This window comes from Homo sapiens, chromosome 1, assembly GCF_000001405.40.
Source record: "Homo sapiens chromosome 1, GRCh38.p14 Primary Assembly".
Classification (NCBI taxonomy): Eukaryota; Metazoa; Chordata; class Mammalia; order Primates; family Hominidae; genus Homo; species Homo sapiens.
Window position 1 is genome coordinate 230,391,253 of NC_000001.11, and position 16,538 is coordinate 230,407,790.

The 16,538-nt window shown below is 50.4% G+C and overlaps 1 protein-coding gene and 1 long non-coding RNA gene across 2 annotated transcripts in view, besides 1 other annotated feature; both read right to left on the reverse strand.

Annotated features, from left to right (window-relative positions):
- Positions 1 to 16,538, reverse strand: part of PGBD5 (piggyBac transposable element derived 5) — a 111,843-nt gene that overhangs the window by 76,763 nt on the left and 18,542 nt on the right. The window lies entirely within an intron of this gene.
- Positions 6,987 to 11,352, reverse strand: LOC124904543 (uncharacterized). Its single transcript, XR_007066931.1, has 2 exons — positions 8,503 to 11,352; positions 6,987 to 7,158 (listed from the first exon to the last, which is right to left on the reverse strand). It is a non-coding gene; the product is annotated as an uncharacterized LOC124904543 (long non-coding RNA).
- Positions 8,748 to 9,381: an enhancer, noted in NCBI's record as "H3K4me1 hESC enhancer chr1:230535746-230536379 (GRCh37/hg19 assembly coordinates)". NCBI's record gives its function as "activates a minimal SCP1, AML or CMV promoter by ChIP-STARR-seq in naive H9 embryonic stem cells {active_cell/tissue: H9 hESC(naive)}" and the evidence as "EXISTENCE:reporter gene assay evidence [ECO:0000049][PMID:30033119]".

Sequence of the window (16,538 nt, forward strand, 5' to 3'; positions counted from 1 at the left end):
GAGACATAGTCCCAACTCACCCTCCTTTTAGTCATCAAAACATTTAGGAAAGATTCAGAAATTGCGCATGGGATTACAGTTTAGCAATTTTCCGATTTTGCCCCCTCATTTTCTCCCCTAGGAAAAAATATGAGTTTGCTGTCTCCTTCCCTGCAGGGATGTAATAGAGGTTTTACGGATAGAGAATTTCTCAAATTGCATCATTACAAAATGGTATATGCTAAGGTGTACCTTATGTGTGAAATTTCCCGGAATCAGGGAAAAGTATAACACACAAAGCAAACGTCAAATCAGACCCTTTCTCCTCACCCCTCTCCCTCCTCCTCACACCTTAAGACCTCAGTGACAAGCTTTTGCCTCCTGCAGTAAAACAATTTCCAAGACCAAACTGTGAGGTACCAAGGAGAGAGAGACCTGTATTTGGCCATCCATAAAACACAGCTCCTACTGTATTTTGGTGCACTTAGGAGGATATGCTATTTCCAGAAAAATAAACCTCTTCCTCACCATTTCTAGTAGCCAATAAATAGCAGAGACTTTATAATTATTAAGCAGCCCCAAACACCTGGCACTGATCTTCGTTAAATTCAATAAAAAACGAGCCCCATGCTGCATTTCTTTCTTCCATGCTCAGCAGTGGCCCGAGCCTACGCCAGAGAACGGGGCCAAGCTGCCCTTCTCCCCCAAAGGGAGCCCGACACAGGAGTCCTGCTGGGCGTTTGCTCATTTTAATGATGCGGTTAGAAAGGAACAGAAGATGAAATGAACTTTTCATAGGAAAAGGCTGGACCGAGGCTTACTAGGACTGTGAAGCTTCACTACCAGATCTCCAAACGAAAATCCTACTTGCTTTGATTTTTTTCTCTTAAGAGTGCCTTGGTCATGTGTCATGGGGCTGATCCCCAGCTGCCACCAGCTTCAGATAACCTCAGTGCTTCCTGGCCACATCCCCCCACACCGGGGCTGCCCTGAGAGGCATGGGGAAAGTCACGGGTCCTTTGGGGATAAGCACTGACCCACGGCCCTGGAGGGGCATCCCTCCAGGATAAGAGGATGCCTGTGCCCCACGTACCCCTGCGTCTCCCCTCCTTCTATCCCATTGGGTGAGAATCAAGCTGGGGAAGGCCAGAGCCCGAGGCCCGGCTGATGAGCCCCAGGCTTTGATGACAGGCCTGCTTGACAGGAAGCCTTCAGATGTCAGTTCATTCCAGGCAGATCTTCTCCCCCTCCAAAGCTGAGTTATAAAGCACCCGAGCTTTGTTATTTTATCTCCGGCTCGCAGGAGCCCTGGGAGGGCAGCTGCTTTGGAACTTTGAGGCTGCTCAGCCCCTGCCTCCTCCGGACTCTCCTCCTTCCGGGGCTCCTTGCAAGCGTGTCCTTCACCAGAGGACTGTCAGGACTTCCCACCACCAAAACCTGTGCTCCACACCCGCTCCTCAGCAGCGGCCTGCTCTCACCCAAGGAAATCCCCCGTGCGGCCCTGAGGTCCACCTCACAATGGAGATACAAGCCCCACAGTGCTTGGCTCTCCGGCCTGGGAAGCTGGAGGGGCTGAGCTAGAAAAGTTCAGCCCAGCAGCATGAAGGCAGGCCTGGCTGACAGCACACTAGACCCCGTGGGGTTCAGCCCCAGAGCCTGGAGCAGCAGGAGCAGACAGCTCTCCAACCCCAGCTGCAAGAGAAGAGGAACTGGAGGGAGAGGCACAGGAAGGGGAGGAGGAGGAAAAGGGAGAGCAGTGGTGGGCGGGGGAGCAAATCAGGGAAAAGGAAAGGGGGAGAGGGAGAAAGGAAGGAAAAGAGGAGAGGGATAGGAAGGGGAAGGCGGAGGAGGAAGAGGAAGGAGGAAAGGGGAAAAAGAAGGGGAAGGGGAAAAAAGAAGGGTAGGGGAGGAAGAAGAGGAGGAAGGAAAAAGGGAAGAGAAGGGGAAGGGAGGGGGGGAGGAGGGAGGAGGCAGGGAAGCCAAGGGAAAGGAGGAGAGGAGGAGGAAGGAAGGGAGAAGAGCAGGGAAAAGGGGGAGGAGGAGGGAGGAAAAAGCGAAGAGAAGAGAAAGGGGAGGGGGAGGGGCGTGCTGTGCTCAGGGCCAGTGCAGCCACTGAACACAGGAGACCACTGGCGGGGATGCGAGGAGGAGGAGAGCAGGCGGACTCTAGGAGGCTCACCCTAGGACACTTCACCATCCCACCTTTAAGGAGGTGACTCACAGATTCTCACAGGACACGGGAGGGTCTCTGCTGCCAGAGGCTTCCACCCAATCTTAGCGCCTGCTTTAAGAGCCTCAGAAGGAGCTCAGAAAAGAAAATAATAGGCCGGGCGCGGTGGCTCACGCCTGTAATCCCAGCACTTTGGGAGGCAGAGGCAGGCGGATTATGAGGTCAGGAGATCGAGACCACGGTGAAACCCCGTCTCTACTAAAAATACAAAAAATTAGCCGGGCGCAGTGGCGGGCGCCTGTAGTCCCAGCTACTCGGGAGGCTGAGGCAGGAGAATGGCGTGAACCCGGGAAGCGGAGCTTGCAGTGAGCGGAGATCGCGCCACAGCACTCCCGCCTGGGCGACAGAACGAGACTCCGTCTCAAAAAAAAAAAAAAAAAAAATAATAGGCCCGGGGCCCGCCAGTCCACAGCCTGATTAGAAACATGTGGCTTCGCAAGGCTCTCCCTCACTGGCTCCCCGCCCTAGAGTCCGCCACACCTGCCCCGGCCTGGCATCCTCTGCAGGCTTCCAGCTCTCCCACTCTTCTGGCTCATTCCGCCCCTGACTGGGCTACAAATCTTACAGAAACATGGACTTCTTTTATCCAAATTCTACCTATGGCTCCTCAGAGAACGCCACCCCATATCCTATACTCATATTCAACAAACCATGCCTATTTTATCTCCCTGGAGATCAGCCACTCCTGGATGGGGATCATCCCACAGGGCCAGGGAGGGTGCTCCCTCCTGTCTCAGGCCTGAGGACCAGGGCAAAGCATGCTAGATAAACGTGCCCAGTACCCTCAAGAACCTCCGTTTCGTTTCCCCTAAAAAACTCCACAGGGACCAACTCTGACTCTGCCCTTCTATTGTGCTACAGGAGTGGCGGTTTTCGAGTATGAGGAGGGGGAGCCTGCTCCTAGGATTTGCTCATTGTCAGGCACTGCTAATGGTGCTCCTCCCCCGCTGCCCACACCCCACCTCTGCTCCCCAAGCCCCTCCCTGTGCTGCTCCTCCCCCTAGTTGGCCAGGGTCCTCCAATCCTCCCGCTGTGCTTCTTCCCATCCCCAAGCTCCTTTCACTCCCTGCCCTCCTCTCCTAACCCCAAGCTCCATTCATTGCCCACCCCCCTCCCCTCCTCTCCTTGTGCTCCTCTCCATCCCCGAGCTCCTCTCTCATTCCTACCCTCCTCCCCTCCACTCACGCTCCTCCCAATCCCCAAGGTCCTCTCATTCCCACCTTCCTCCCTTCCTCTCCTCACGCTCCTCCCTATCCCCGAGCTCCTCTCTCATCCCTACCCTCCTCCCCTCCACTCACGCTCCTCCCAATCCCCAAGGTTCTCTCATTCCCACCTTCCTCCCTTCCTCTCCTCACGCTCCTCCCTATCCCCGAGCTCCTCTCTCACTCCCTCCCTCCTCTCATGCTCCTCCCCCCTCTCCTCATGCTCCTCCCCATCCTCGAGCTCCTCTCTCACTCCTACCCTCCTCTCCTCCACTCACGCTCCTGCTGATCCCCAAGCTCCTCTCGTTCCCACCTTCCTCCCTTCCTCTCCTCCCACTCCTCCCCATCCCCGAGCTCTTCTCACTCCCTCCCTCCTCCCCGTCCCAGAGCTCCTCTCTCACTCCCTCCTCCCCTCACACTCCTCCCCATCCCCAAGCTCCTCTCCCTCCCTCCTCCCCTCACACTCCTCCCCATCCCCGAGCTCCTCTCCCACCCTCCTCCCCTCCTCTCCTCACACTCCTCCCCATCCCCGAGCTCCTCTCTCCCTCCCTCCTCCCCATCCCCGAGCTCCTCTCTCATTCCCACCCTTCTCCCCCCCTCACGCTTCTCCCCATCCCTGAGCTCCTCTCTCATTCCCACCCTCCTCTCCTCCTCTCCTCACACTCCTCCCCATCCCAGCTCCTCTCACTCCCAACACCCTCCCCTCCTCTCCTCATGCTCCTCCCCATCCCTGAGCTCCTCTCACTCCCACCCTCCTCCCCTCCTCTCCTCCCACTCCTCCCCATCCCTGAGCTCCTCTCTCACTCCCTCCCTCCTCCCCTCCTCTCCTCACACTCCTTCCCATCCCTGAGCTTCTCTCTCATTCCCACCCTCCTCCCCTCCTCCTCACACTCCTCCCCATCCCAGCTCCCCTCTCATTCCCAACCCCCTCCCCTCCTCTCCTCATGCTCCTCCCCATCCCTGAGCTCCTCTCTCATTCCCACCCTCCTCCCCCTTCTCTCCTCACACTCCTCCCCATCCCTGAGCTCCTCTCATTCCCACCCTCCTCCCCTCCTCTCCTCACACTCCTCCCCATCCCTGAGCTCCTCACTCCCACCCTCCTCCCCCCTCCTCACACTCCTCCCCATCCCTGAGCTCCTGTCATTCCCACACTCCTCCCCATCCCTGAGCTCCTCATTCCTACCCTCCTCCCCCTCTTCATGCTCCTCCCCATCCAAGTTCCTCTCTTACTCCCACCCTCCTCCCCTCCTCACGCTCCTCCCCATCCCTGAGCTCCTCCCTTTTACTTCCCACCCTCCTCCCCAACCTCAAGCTCCTCTTTCTTTTGCTTCCCTCTTTCTTCCCTTTGCTTCCCTCTTTCTGCTCCCTTGCTTCCGTCTTCCCTTTGCTTCCCTCTTTCCTCCATCTTCCCTTTGCTTCCCTCTTTCTGCTCCTCCTACTGCTCCACCCTCCACTCTCCTCCCCTTTACCCCCCATACTCATCCCTTTTACTCCCACACTCCTCCCTTTTACCCACATTCCTTTTTACCCCCCCACTCTTCCCTTTTACTCACATTCCTCCTTTTTACCCCCACACTCCTCCCTTTTACCCCCACACTCCTCCTTTTTACCCCCACACTCTTCCCTTTTACCCCCACACTCCTCCCTTTTACCCCACACTCCTTCTCCTCTACTCCCTATTCTTAAGTTACTCTCTTCACCCTCCTCCCCCTTTGCTCCCCAAGCTCCTCCCTTTCACTCTCCACCCTCCTCCCCCATCCCCACCATCCTCCCTTTCACTCTCTATCCTCCTCCCCCTCAACTTCCCCCTACTTCCGCAGCCAGGGTCCTCCTCCACTCACCCATACTATCAGGTTCTCCTTCCAGCCCCCTTGACAGCTAAGGTACATTTTGTTGCCCCCCCTCCCCCTGCATTCATCTGGAATGGACCACAAGCTCCTGAACATGAGACCACACTCAACCCAGAGACACACCTATCCTGAGGCACCTGAGGACGGCACACATGGGGGCATCATAGGAAGGGCCTGGCTTTGGAGTTACAAAACCATGGTGTCCGCCTGAAACAACACCGTGTACTGACATGAGATCCCGGCAGGCCACTCTGCTCTCAGAGCCTCCATTTCCTTGCATTTAAAACCGGAAGCATACACTGGCGGAGAGGCACCCTCCCCATGGGATTGTGTGCGGAGCAGACCAATGAGTGTGACAAGCCTGTTAGCAAGGTGCTATGTACAATGGCCACTCACATTTAAAATCACGCTGGAAGTCAGAGCACTCCTGGAAATGTCCCACACCTATGGCCCTTTCCAGGGGTTTGGAGTCACGCCTTGGGGGTCCTTTCTAAGGACAGCTGGGAGGTGCACTGTTGTCACTGGAGAGGGAGTTCACCTGGTTTATGCCGAATCCTCGGCTCTCTGTGACCCGATTCCAAGAGATGGGAATCAAGACTCCACTGAGGCCTCCCATTGCCCACCCGCACACGCGCCTGCATGCTCACACCACACCTTCACCCCCGCCACTGTGGAGGAATTCCTTCCCACTGTTCCCGCTCAGAAATCTGGATGCCCACCTTGCAAGCTGTACTGCTTTATCACGTGGAACTACAACCCTGGCTTTGCTAACCTCAGTGGCTACATTTTCTAATTGTCTCCCTAATTATGGAATTCAAAGTAAAAACACCACCATAGCATTCCAGTAGCAAAAGTAAGACTTTCATAATTTTGAAGTTCTGAAGCATAGCAAAACCAATACAGAATCAAGATTTGCTCGTTTCCTTAAATCTACCCAGTCTTCTAATTCCTAGTTTTTGACACATAAAGTGACATTTTTATAAAGATGAATCTTTAAATGGCAAATTAATCCAAGCAAGAGGAGATTTAAGAATATTTATCAAGTTCATGCCTGAGAACAATGATATAAAAGTAATTTTAATTACCCAAAGATGTCACTGACATAAAAATAGCTCTGGGATATTTTTCCCCAAATCTCCTCAAGGAATGCCTGGGCATACACAGAGGCAAAAATCGTGGGCCTGTGACTTAAGATGGTGATCTCTTCCACAGCTCAAACACACAGCGAAGTCAGACCTCCTCAAGGAAGATCGGCAGGCTCAGAGCTTCTGAATTGGATGACATCTTCCTTATGTGTCTTGCCTTCTCTAAAGCTTAACCACAGGATGCTGCCGGGAAGAATCCAGCTCTATGTGAGAGCACAGAGCTGGCTTTGGGGGTAGCGTCCCCTACATGGGCACAGACTCCTCTTGCTCAGAAGCTATCACCACCCAACTGGTGGCTGTGCCCTGGAGAAGGAGTCGTTCCCCTCTCACAGATCTGCAAGGCCAGATTTAATGGGTTACCTTCCAGTCTGAAATGGCACATCTGGCACCCAGGAACTCCTATAGGACCCTGAAACAGTCCCAGTTGGCAAAAGGCTGAGTGGCACAGAGCTGAGACCGCTCCATCTGAACCCCCAGAATCCAGCCTCCCTGCCTTGCTTTCCTGTCTAGCCTTGCACGTCTCATCTTGTAGGATGGTACATTCATTTGCTAAGCAACCATAACAAAGTACCACAGAACGGTGGCTTAAACAACAGAACTTTATTATCTCACAGTGCTGGAGGCGAGAAGTGTGAGATCAAGGTGTTGGCAGGCTTGTTTCCTGCTGAGGCCTCTCTCCTGGCTTGCACAGGGCGGTCTCCATGTCTTCGCATGGGCTCCCCCATGTGTGTCTGTGTCCTCCTCTCTTCTTACTGGGACACCAATCAGATTGGATTAGGGCCCACCCATATGATTTCATTTTACCTTAATTACCTTTTAAAGACCTCATCTCCAAAGAAGGTCACATTTTGAAGTACTAGGGGTTAGGACTTCGACATATGAATTTGGGGTGGACACAATTCAGCTCATGACAGATGGGAGGTGCTGTTCAGCAGAACTAGACAGAACTAGGCAGTTCTAGGACAGAACTAGAGACAGGGGTCTTGGGCAAGGCCCTCTCCCCAGCAGACCAGACCATAAGCCCTCAGTAGGCAGAGCCCACCCAAGACCTCTGGGCTCCTGGCAGTGACCCCACCCCACAGCTCCCAGAACTGGGTTTTTAGGGGGTGAAGATCTCGAGCATCAGTGCATTGCTCTCAGTCCTCAGCACCACCTCCTTAAGGGCCTGCACTGTCACATCGGTAAGATTCAAAACATAGCCATGGGCCAGCATGGAGTCCCCCAGAGCAGCTGGTCTGAAACAGAAGCGGAAGGGCTGGATGCAGAGTGCTCCAATGAGCTCGGGGCCAGGCTCCGACAAGAGGGAAAGACAGACCCAGGAGCCCGGCAGAACCTTTTCCCCACAAAATTCAATGGCTCTTTCAAAGTCTTGTTTCTTGGCAACCCTCACAGGTTACTAAGGGGGGGTGGCTAAGTGTCAGGTGCAGCTCATCAGTGAGCAAGAACACACCGAGACAGGAGCCTGAGTTGGCAAATTAAAATACAGGACAGCTAGCGCTATTTGGATTTCAAATAAACAAGTAATTTTTTTCATATGTAAATACGGCCCATGTAATGACCGGCAAGCTTAAGCTGAACAATTATTGTATATCTGAAATCTAAATTTTACTGGTGTCCTGTATTCTGTCTGGCAACCCTGCTTCATGAGAACAGTCCCCCACTTTGCTGATATACACTTGGTGTCTTCTCAGGGAGTCCGTTCTCCCACGGAGCTGACTGCTCAGAACACGAGGCCCAGGCCAGGGATGCCCTGGAGAGCTGATCCCCACAGGAGGGGGCTACCTGCAGACCTAACCCCTTGCCGTGGCCCCACCCTCTTCCAAAACCCTCCCATGGGTCTGGTTACCCATACGTTTACTTTACAGGAGAAGGCAGGTACATGCCATCTCCTCGACACCCCTGAATTCAGCCATCATGGACCACGTAGAGCCAGCCTTCTGGTCTGGTCCTCTCTCAGACATCTGCTACCAGTGCTGCTCCCACCGTCACCAGTCGTGACCATAGGAATGTGCAGTGGGAGTAGGGTCAAGTGGCTGAAGGACCCCCGCAGACCGGAGGATGCTGCTGAGGGCACATGATACTCAATCCAAACTCACAAAATGACGCCTATTTCTCCTGCCCACGTTGCCGCAGATCCTTCCAATACTCAGTTCCCACGGTGGAAACACGCGATCCATCAGGGCAGCCAGCTGGTCCTAGCTTCACAACACGTCAGGAATCTGAAGGCGTCTCATCGTCTCCACCATCTCTTGCCAGGTTATGGCGGGAGCCAGATCCCACGCTTGTCCTCTTAGGGTCTGTTCTCAACCTGGCACTCACAGCATCTCTTTAAAACTTACACAGGGCTATGTTATCCCTTTGCTAAAAATCCACCAAAGACTCCTCATCTCATTCAAAATGCAAGCCAAGTTCTTCCCACAGCCTGCAAGGCCCTCTGTGCCCCGCCTCCACCCTGCAGCTCTCTGACCGCCTTCCTCCTTCCTCCGCGCCTCGCCCACCAGGCACACTCCTGCCTCGGGCCTCACACTGTCAGGCACCTCACCTGGATGGGAGGGATCTCCACTTGCCAGAAATGCACTGGGCCAACTCCTTCACCGCCTGGGAGCTTTGCTCAAATCTTACCTTCTGAATCAGGCCTGCCCACCCTATTTAATTCTGCAACAGACGCCTTCCACCCCTCCCCCACACTCTCAAGCCCCCTAAACCTGCCTACTGTTTCCTTCTACAACATTTCCTTTTTAACATGCCATCTGCTTATTGGTTCACTGCTTATTGTCTGTTACCCACTCTAGAATGTGTGCTTCATGGAGGCCAGAATCTATTTGGTTCACTGATGTATTCTAAAAGCCCAAAACAGTGCCTGAGACATAATGGGTGCTCAGTAAAGACTTAAAACCTAGCTTCACTATCCACTGCGTGGTCACCAAAGAACAGTAGCAGGAGAAGTGCCAATACTTACTCAGTATTTCTCATGTGCCAGACACTAAGAAAGAGGTTTTCTTTCTTAGAAATGTTAAATGTTAAATGTTGCACAATTTAAGCTGGACACGGTGGCACATGTCAGCAGTCCCAGCTACTTAGGAGGCTGAGGTGTGTGGATCACTCACCAGAGTTCTAGGCTGTAGTGTGCTGACTGCACTTGTGAATAGCCACTGCACTCTAGCCTGAGCAACACAGCATGATCCCATCTCTAACAAAAAGGCTGCACAATTCAATGTTCACAACTGCCTTGCAGTAAGTCAGGTTGAAGTTTCTCTACTTTATAAATGAGAAAACGGACTCAGAGAACACATAACTACAAACAGGTCAGAATTCTGACCTAGATACTAAAGCCCATGAGATTGTATCACCACCCTGAGAAGCACGCATATTATCTACAGTTACCTGGAGACTGTCCTTGTCCCCTTCCTCATTCACTGTCCCTCCCACCTGATACCTAACATTTACCAGAAGGCACAGCCCTACGCAGATGGTCAGGACAGGCATTGGGCCGCATTCACCATTAGGAGAGCTGCGTGGTGGGAGTTAAGGACGCTGGCCTTGGCACCTGGGTCACCGGCTCCCTTGGGTCACAGGAGCACATCCTGGCTCCACCCCTCACATGCTGTGGGGCACAGACAAAGCACACTGGACACAGGTGGCGCTCATGGCGGGTCAGCATATGCGCATGTGTATAACACGGCCTCCAACAGGCAGTACGTGCTCCGGGACTGCTCATCCCCGTTGAGGTGGCTCTTCTCATGGGGAACTCCCAGCTTGTCACATGAGGGCCTGATCTGGCCTGTTGCTTGGGGCCAGGGAGAAGCGTAAATAGCAAACAGCACTAAGGAAAGATCCGAGAAACGACCCTTGAGCAGATCCTTGTCCTATGCCAAGATCAAAAGGCGGCAAGACCCAGAAGGAAAAAATAATTCTTTTATGAAATTTTCACTCACCTCTGACTTCCAGTGGATTAAAGAAACACTGAAAACACACTGGCCTCAGCAAGTAATCAGATTTTACCCTTCATAATCTAGGGTTTCTGCTGCCCGGCCTTTCCCCGCATCAGAGCCCTCAGGCCTCCGGCCACATTCGCTGACCTCTAGTCACTGGGCTTCCTTTCCTGGGGTTGGTTTTCTCCTGCCAGGGCTTGGAGGCGCCCTGGCAACACAGGCAGGCGCGCTGCTCACCTCCCCATACGACACACCTCCTGGCACACCAAGAGCAAACGGGGCTGACATCCACAACTGCTCCCAGGCAAGGAGAGGCAAGGCTGCTGGCCTTTGAGAGCTGACGGACTCTGATGAGCTGTGGGGAGGGAGGGCAAGGGCTCCTGAAGTGTCTCACACTGTAAGACAGCAGCAGCCCCAGATACCAAAGCTGCTGCCAGGAAGTGGTGGGTGACAGGGAGGGGGAGAGAAGGCAGTTTTGCCTTTGAGTCCAGATGAAGCCTTTCAGGCTCAGATTTTTCCAGTCTTTCCTTAAAAAAAAAGAAATGAACATGCCAAGCATTACTAAGCATATTCTGTAACCACATTTCTTGTGAGCTACAGATTCCATGTGAGTTGATTCTAAATGAAACTGACATCCGTGTTCACACACAAGTCATCACCCTAGAGGGAGTGGGCCTGGGAGTTCACGGCCTAGGCAGGCCCACAGAAGTCCACGTGGCCTAACGCCTCTCCTCGCTGCCCTCGAGGAAGGTCCAGGAACGCTTCTCCAGATAGAAAGTGAGAAGCTATCTCTACAGACCCAAACAAAAAGCTTTTAATGATAGCAATAGCAACATTTTAACTTTTTATTTTATAGACAGGGTCTTGCTCTGTCACTAAAGTTGGAGTGCAGTGGTGTGAAGAGAGCTCACTGTTGGGGGAGGGGGCTTTGCCTCTGAGTTTAGCCTCAAACTCCTGGGCTCAAGCAATCCTGCTGCCTTAGCCTCCCAAGTAGGTAGGACTACAGGTACATACCACCACTCCTGGCTAATTTTTAAAATTTTTTGTAGAGATTTTGCTGCCCAGGTTGGTCTCAAACTCCTTGGCTTGCCCTCGCTATGTTGCCCAGGCTGGTCTCAAACTCCTTGGCTCAAGCAGTCCTTCCACCTTGGCCTTCCAAAGCACTGGGTTGATAGGCACGAGCCCCAGTGCCCAGCCAGCAACATTTTAATATGTCTCAATGATTATATATTTAGTCTGGTAGAACACATGTGACTCTCTGCCAATGATATGGTAGCTTTGAGCAACTGCTTATATGACCATTGAACTTGATGTTCCAGAATGAGGTTTGTTAGGGAGACCTGCTTTTAATGGATCCTTGTCTTCATCCAAGCAACTACAAGATCAAGCCTTTGTGAACCGCACATCACTCCATCATTTTCTTCCCAGCTGCCCATCGGTGTGTAATTGTGAGGTCGTTAGAGTCCTATCAGACAAGAACAGCTAACACCAAGTGCTTAGTCTATGGCAAGCATGCCTCCAGGCCTCTTCTCTAACAGAAACATGGGTGGATGCAAAAGCACCTAAGAGTTTGACCAAAGCACACCCCATTCAATTCCTGACTCTACCACTAATACTTACAGTCGAAGTGTCTTAATCTCCCAACGTCTGTTTCATGGGGATAACAATACTTAAACCTAAGTGTGAAATAAAATAATTTAAGTGGAGTGCTGCCCTGTCAATGTTTACTCTTTTCCTTGAGATCAAGCCTTTCAGGTATCTGAGTGAAGATGGTTGAGCCCAACATCGCCTCTCACCCTCCACTTGTCCCCCTTCTGTCTCTACAGCACTGAGAAGAAGTGGCTGGGTGCACTCAGTGTAGTTCCCAGTGGAGAGGTCCAGTGTAGGGCTTCTTCCCTCTCAAGCTGGAGAGACCAGCACCAGAGCCTCAGGATGAGGATCTTAGAGCCAAAGGCCTCAGGGGAGGCTGGCCTGGAGAGACCTGCGGGCCCTGGAGGAAAACCAGCCCCATCCTGAGTGCTCCGCCTGGATTCCCAGGCTCCAGGGGCAAAGCAGCAGGTGGCGCTGCAAGTCCCAGAGCCCACAAGTAAAGGGAAGGTCATGCGGGGTCCGCTCTGGACACAGAAGAGCCGCCTTCTCTCCCACCAGGGCAGGCCCACTAACCCCATCAGTGCTCCACCAGACCCAGGCCCCCTGAGCCAACGAAGAGTGATAACCCCTTCCAAGAGTCTCAGCAACACACAAGGGGGACCGCCCAGAAGAAACAGACACACCCCCAGAAAGAGGGAGCTACTGGAGGATACATACAACTTGAATTTTAATTAAAATAATTATAGTGCTCAAGAGGATTCTACTGCAACATACAGAGGAGGAAAAAAAAAGATTTCCTGTAACTAGAAAACATGATTTCCCAACTAAACAACTCTTCAAAGAGAAGAAAGGTGGGCACATAGGATTCTTGAGTTACTCACTCAGAAGATCAAGACCAGGAAAGAACAGAGTGGAAGATGCCGGGTGGAAGGCGTCAAGCTATGAGACTGTGAGGGTGCATCCTGAGACCTGGGAGGAAAAGGGACGGATGAACAGGGGCAGTGAAGACCCCAAGCTCTAGATACATGCCATGAGAAAACATGCACACCAGCTACTCAGGGGCAGAGACAGGAGAACTGCTGGAGCCTAGGAGCTCGAGACTAGCCTGGGCAACACAGGGAGACCCCATCTCTACAAATAATTTAAAAAATTAGCCAGAAGTGGTGGCAGATTCCTGTGGTCTGAGCTACTCGGGGGACTGAGGTGGAAAGATTGCTTGAGCCTAGGAGTTTGGGACCAGCCTGGGCCCCCATCTCTAAAAATAATTTTAAAAAATTAGCCAAGTGTGGTGGCGCGCACCTGTGGTCCCAGGTACTTGGGAGGCTGAGGAGGGAGGGGAGGATCACTTGAGCACAGGAGGCTGAGGCTGCAGTGGGCTGCAACTGTGCTGCTGTACTCTAGCCTGGGTGAGACAGAGCAAAGTCTTGTCTCAAAAAAAAAAAAAAAAAAATATATATATATATATATATGGCCTGGCAAGGTGGCTTACGCCTGTAATCCCAGCACTTTAGGAGGCTGACGTTTGGCAGATCAACTGAGGTCAGGAGTTCGATACTAGCCTGACCAAAATGCAGAAATCCCGCCTCTACCAAAAAATACAAAATTAGCTGGGCGTGGTGGAGTAATCCCAGCTACTCTGGAGGCTGAGGCAGGAAAATTGCTTGAACCAGGGAGGCAGAGGTTGCAGTGAGCCAAGATTGTGCCATTGCACTCTAGCCTGGGCAACAAGAGCGAAACTCCATCTCAAAAAAAAAAAAAAAAAGGCTTCCCAAGGCAAGGTATCACTCAGCTATCAAGTTTTTTTTTTTTTTTTAAAAAGATATATGAAGAGGTGAAACCCCGTCTCCACTAAAAATACAAAAAAATTAGCTGGGTGTGGTGGCAGGCGCCTGTAGTCCCAGCTACTTGGGAGGCTGAGGCGGGAGAATGGCGTGAACCTGGGAGGCGGAGCTTGCAGTGAGCTGAGATTGCGCTACTGCACTCCAGCCTGGGTGACAGAGTGAGACTCCACCTCAAAAAAAAAAAAAAGATATATGAAGAAAAAAATTGAGAGTGCAGGTGACCCTTGAACAACACGGGTTTGACCTGTGTGGGTCCACTTATACCCGGATTTCCTTCCTCCTCTGCCACCCCTGAGACAGCAAGACCAATCCCTCCTCATCCTTCTCTCCTCAGCCTTCTCAACCTGAAGAAGGCGTGGATGATCCACCTCCACTAAACGAACAGTAAATATATTTTCTCTTTCTTATGATTTTTCTTCATAATATTTTTTTCTCTAGCTTATTTTAAGAATACAGTATATAATACACATAACATACAAAATATTTGTTAATTGACCATTTATATTATTGGTAAAGCTTCCAGTTAACAGTAGTCTGTTATTAGTTAAGTTTTATACACAGATTTTTGGCTGTGTGGGAGGTCAGCTCCCCTAAGCCTTGTGTTGTTCAAGCATCAGCTGTATATACCAGTAGCCTCCCTGGCTGAGGACAACAGTAAAAAAAGGTCTCTAAAAATATATGGACCAGAACCAAGACCCTACAGTGAGAAAAGAGGAGAAAGAACTGATGACCAATGAGCCAAACGGTCTTGGGCCTTCTCAGGGGTGAATAGTTGATGCCTATTTCAATGTTGTTTCTGACACCCTTGATTTGATGGGTGATTGTTGTCATTTAATAGTGTAGATTCCCATCATGTCTAAGCAGAATGCATCTCAGTGATATGCACAAGACATGCAATTCAGTTTTTAAATTAATGCCACAGTATTTACTTTTACAGATAATTCTAAGACACAACTCAGACTAAAAATATGCTAGGATTCTTTACAGTTTGAAATTCTGTTAGTTGGCTGGGCACAGTGGCTCACGCCTGTAATCCCAATACTTTGGGAGGCCGAGGCAGGTGGATCATGAGGTCAGGAAATCGAGACCATCCTGGCTAACATGGTGAAACCCCATCTCTACTAAAAATACAAAAAATTAGCCGGGCATGGTGGCGGGCGCCTGTAGTCCCAGCTACTCGGGAGGCTGAGGCAGGAGAATGGCGTGAACCCAGGAGGCAGAGCTTGCAGTGAGCCGAGATCACGCCACTGCACTCCATCCAGCCTGGGCAACAGAGTGAGACTCCGTCTCAAAAAAAAAAAAAAAAAAAAAAAGAAATTCTGTTAAAGTAGAAATATTTAGTTATTACTGCAAGAGTAAAATGTTGCAATAATTAAAGACTGTAATAGCTACTAATTTTATAGGCAAAAAAATATTAAGAAATTAAGAGCCTTGAAGTATATAAACTGAGAAACAGAATGACAGTTAACAGAAATATTATGAGTATGTTGTCCAGATAACTTTAGAAAGAATATTTATCCTTTTAGAAATGACAGTTATAAAATTTAAGTAATAATACAAGACAGAACAACAGAGTTTAGATTATATCATAATTATAATCTTTGGAGAATTATTTCATATATTAGCTTTCATAATACTAAATAGCCCTTAAGAACTTAGTGTAATTTTATTGTCATTTAATTTTATTCAGGCTATAACTATTTCAAGAAACATTCCTATTTGCAAATTCTTCATCTGGTGATGATGAGTTAAAAGCAAAAACTCAACTATACCACGTTAAAAATTCAGGGATAAAAATTTCACAATCAAGTTTGACAACATCACTTTTTTTGAGACAGAGTTTCACTCTTGTTGCCCAGGCTGGAGTGCAATGGCGCAATCTTCGCTCACTGCAACCTCCACCGCCCACGTTCAAATGCAATTCTGCCTCAGCCTCCTTAGTAGCTGGAATTACAGGCGTGCACCACCACACCCAGATAATTTTTGTATTTTTAGTAGAGACGGGGTTTCGCCACGTTGGCCAGGCTGGTCTTGAACCCCTGACCTCAGGTGATCCGCCTGCCTTGGCCTCCCAAAATGCTGGGATTACAGGCGTGAACCACCATGTCCAGTCCAGAATACGTCACTTTCAATCTAGGACTAAAAAAGAATATTCAGAGCTTGAAGAAAAGAGTTACAGAAAAATGTCTGTTTTCAATAATAGACCTCTTAAGAATGTCTTCAGACAACTCCTTGTAGTTTTAAGTCTATGAAGACTAAAGCGACACTCAAAATGGCTGTTAAAATGATTATCATGAACAAATTATCATTTTCAGTAGTTAGAAGATGAAGAATTGCTGAGATTTGCCCAAGCTATGAATCCTGATTATTAAGTTCCTCCTGGAAACCATATTACGGAAAAAAAAACTGTTCCCTGAATTAATGTGCTCCTTCTGTATCTTGTACAGCAGACATTTGGCTGTGCAAACACATCCAGGCCTTTGAGTCTGACAGCCTGCTTGCTGGATTAATGAGGAAATCAGCCATGTTTCTCCCTCCCTTTCTGGCTGGCTGTCCCAGGGAATTCTGGGTAATCAAACTGATGTGTCATGAGAGCGTAAGTGTTCCTTACATGATATCTATTGTCTCCTCAGGGAAGACATCAAAACTAATGTTCATAGAAAAAAAAATCTGAGATGCAGACAGAAGTTCAAAAATGATTTTATCTTGAAAGATAGACATATTGCTCCATTGACACACTCCTAGTTTTTCCTCAAGCGATTATGAGAG